At 42.2% G+C, this 3418-nt stretch overlaps 1 annotated feature.

Moving 5' to 3' along the window:
- Nucleotides 345-1544: an enhancer, noted in NCBI's record as "P300/CBP strongly-dependent group 1 enhancer chr2:139401763-139402962 (GRCh37/hg19 assembly coordinates)". NCBI's record gives its function as "activates an origin of replication core promoter dependent on BRD2, BRD4, P300/CBP, MED14 and CDK7 cofactors, with strong dependence on P300/CBP, by STARR-seq in HCT116 cells {active_cell/tissue: HCT116}" and the evidence as "EXISTENCE:reporter gene assay evidence [ECO:0000049][PMID:35650434]".

Genomic DNA, 3418 nt, shown 5'->3' with positions numbered 1-3418 from the left:
CTCCACATCCAATTTGACAGAACTTATGTTGGTTTTTCCCTCAAAAATATTTTCCAAATCAAACTTCTCAGCACTTCACCACAGCCATGATCTGCTCGATGGTATCATTTCTCCCATGAAAGATTGCCATAGCCTTTCTTACCCCCTCTAGATAGTCTCCAAAGAGATTTTAAGGTGTTTTTAAAATATTTAAATCTAAGCCTATCACTTTATTTAAAATCCTCCAGTAGCATCCCAATTTACTTAGGAAAACAATACAAAGTCCCTAGCATGACCTCAAGACCTTACCTGCCCTAGCACTTGCCCACCTCTTGAATTCATCTTTTATTCACTCAGCAACACTCATTCTGGCCTTTTGCATATTTTTCATATCTCCTGAGGAGATTGAGTAGCTGTTTACCAAGCCTCGATCCTCTTTCTACTGGACACACAGCCAAGTTGCATATTCCAGTCTTCCTTGCCATTAGGGGTAGCATGTGATTAAGTTCTGGCCAGTGGAATAAGAACATAAGTGACACATAACATTTGCAGACCTAACTGGTAGAAACTGCCACATGATCCATTTCCCTTGTTAGATAGGAGTTTTAAATTTCTCTTCAAAGAATCAGTATGTCAGTATGTCGGTATGTTCAATTCTTTGCCTGCCTTCTACTTTTAAACTTAACTTCCTTGTAAAGCAACATTTTTCCATTACCTGCTTCACCCTGACTCATTCCGATTACCTACTCCACCCTGACTCATTACAATCATCTGCTCCACCCTGACTCATTCCGATTACCTGCTCATTCTCCACCCTGACTCATTCCGATTTCCTGCTCTGCCATAACCACTTTTCCGGCCAAACCACTCACGCCGTCACTCTCTTTAAATTAGCCAATCGGAATTAGTTTAGCCTGCGCAGTCTAACCCTAGCCAACAGGGGAACGACACAGCAACAGGGGCCACATGCATCAGGGATAAGATCCCCTTCCTCTCCCTTGTCCAAGTGTGTGCTCACCATTGTTGCATCTGTAAGGGTGCACCCTTCTATACAAGTACATTGCGTTGCTGAGAATTACAAAGAAAATTTTATATTCGAGTGCTATTTGTTTTGCGGCACTGAAACTTTATTTATAACACCCTCATCAGCCAATGAGATGCAGAAGATCTGGCAGAGGACTCAAGATCCTAAACGGCTGTAGAGACACCTAGATGTTTGGAGGAATACATGGCCCCACGCCCACTAAGCCACATTAGTCCCTGCCACACTAAGCCACACTAGTCCCTGCTGTGAGCAAGGGACAAACTTCTTTTGTGTCAAGCTGCTGAGTTTTGGTGGTGGGGTGGGTGGTATTTATTAAAGCATTTAGCCTCCTCTAACTAAAGCATGAACCAAACTCCTTTCTATGCCACTTATTTCTTCTGCTTGAAGTCTTTCTGTATTCATATGGCCTGCTTCATTAAATCTTTACTTAAATGTCACCTCCTCAAGAGGCCTTCTCTGATGACTCATCTAAAAAAATCCAGCTCCACTTCAATCCCTCTCATCTATTTTTCTTCGAAGTGTTTACCATCACCTAATGTTGCTATGTATTTAATTATTATTTGTTTATTGTCTCTCTCACACTAACACATAAGATCCATGAAGATAGTGACATGTTTCTTTTTTTTCCTTGTACACTTCATGTTATATCAGTGTCTAGTGACACAGTATGAATGAATGAATGTATGAATGAATGAACTAATTAATTAATTAATTCTAGCTGTCCTTGAACAGCCTAGCCCTGTTTCAGCTGTCACCATCGCCACAAATTGAATTTCCTCTCACACACCTCATTTTCAGGTGTACCTATCTCGTCACTCTCCATCAATTAAGCTTTCACATCCCTTATCTTAACAGCTCAAAATGAGGCAGTGCACCTCCTAAAAGGTGATATTCTGTCAAGGCTGCAAAAGTAGACAGAAGGAAAAAAACAAAAGTGAACTCCAGTAATGAAAATCTAAACCAGCCAAGGAGCCAGGTGATGGGGGGAGAACACAGCACTTGTGTTCACCTGGTCTGGGACTGGACCCACACGTAGGTGCATCCTGGGTCCTGCTTTCAGGCAGGACTTTGCAGACTGCTGGGAATTCCCTCCTCCACTGCGCTATAGTCCCTTGGCAGCCCTTTCACCTCGGTACCTTTGCAAAGAACCCTGGTGTAGTTAGGAGTCATGCAGCCTTAGGTTCAAAGCCAGGGTCTAGGCTTATTGGGTTCATCATTCAAAATGGGGCTACATTCATTAACTCAACACTACTTACCAAGGGCTTTCTTTGTGCAATACTACACTAAGTGCTGGAAAAACAGCCTTAAGATAGATGTAGAGGACACCATTTCAAGGAGCTTATAGTGTAGAAGGAAAGACAGGCATAATTTTACAATTCCTTGGTTACAATTGTGAAAAACTTCCTGAAGGAGAAGCCAGTTGTTCCATGATGGTTCATATCAGTCTAGGCTGTGGGATCAGGAAACACTTTCAAAATATGATTGATCTGAAACCTAAAGGATGAGGAATTAACTCACCAAAGCTGGACAAGGAATGAGGGTGATGAGAATGTGCTGGGTGAACTGAGGAGGTACCTGGAATATTTAAAAACATGGCACAAGGGCCAGGCGAGATGGCTCACAGTGGTAATCCCAGCTCTTTGGGAGGCTGAGATGGGAGGATCGCTTGAGGCCAGGAGTTCGATACCAGCCTAGGCAACATAGTAAGACCTTGTCTCTACTAAAAATAAAAATTAAAAAACAAAATTAAATTAAATTAAAACATGTCACAGGATCAGCATGGCCAGTACCTAGTGAGCAGAGTGGAAATTGGTAGAAAGGAGGCAAAGGAAGATGGCTCCCAGCCTGATGGACCAAATCTAGGACATTGGTGTTATGGTAAGAACATGGGAAATCATTGAAATATCTAAGCAAGAGAGGAGGGCAGGGCATAATCAGTTCTACATTTTGTAATGATTGCTCAGGTTTCTTTGAAAAGAATGAATTATTAGAGGGGCAATCATGGCAAAAGGGAGTCAATTAAAAGGCTGTTGCAAGATCTAAGTGAAAAATAATGATTCCTTGACTTAGAGTGTTAACTGTAAACATGAAGAGAAGCAGATGGACTTGAGAGGTATTTAGGAGGCAAAATCAATAAGACTTCGTGATGGATTAGATATAGGCAATGAGGGAGGGGAGTGCACAGGGGAAGATGCCTAGGTTTCTGGTCTGAGCAACTGGTAAGAGGACACTGCCATTCACTGAGTTAGGCTGCACTGGAAGCAAGACAGGTTGAAGGGAAGATCATGACTGTAATTTTGGACATTTTGACTTTGCACTTGCAGCTACTTATTTTCTGAGTCTTGAGCCCACGTGTGTAGTGGTGAGAACATGACTATCCTACAGAGTGGTGAG

The sequence above is a fragment of the Homo sapiens genome, chromosome 2 (genome assembly GCF_000001405.40).
Source record: "Homo sapiens chromosome 2, GRCh38.p14 Primary Assembly".
In the NCBI taxonomy this organism is placed as follows: Eukaryota; Metazoa; Chordata; class Mammalia; order Primates; family Hominidae; genus Homo; species Homo sapiens.
This window is presented reverse-complemented; position numbering and strand designations above follow the sequence as displayed.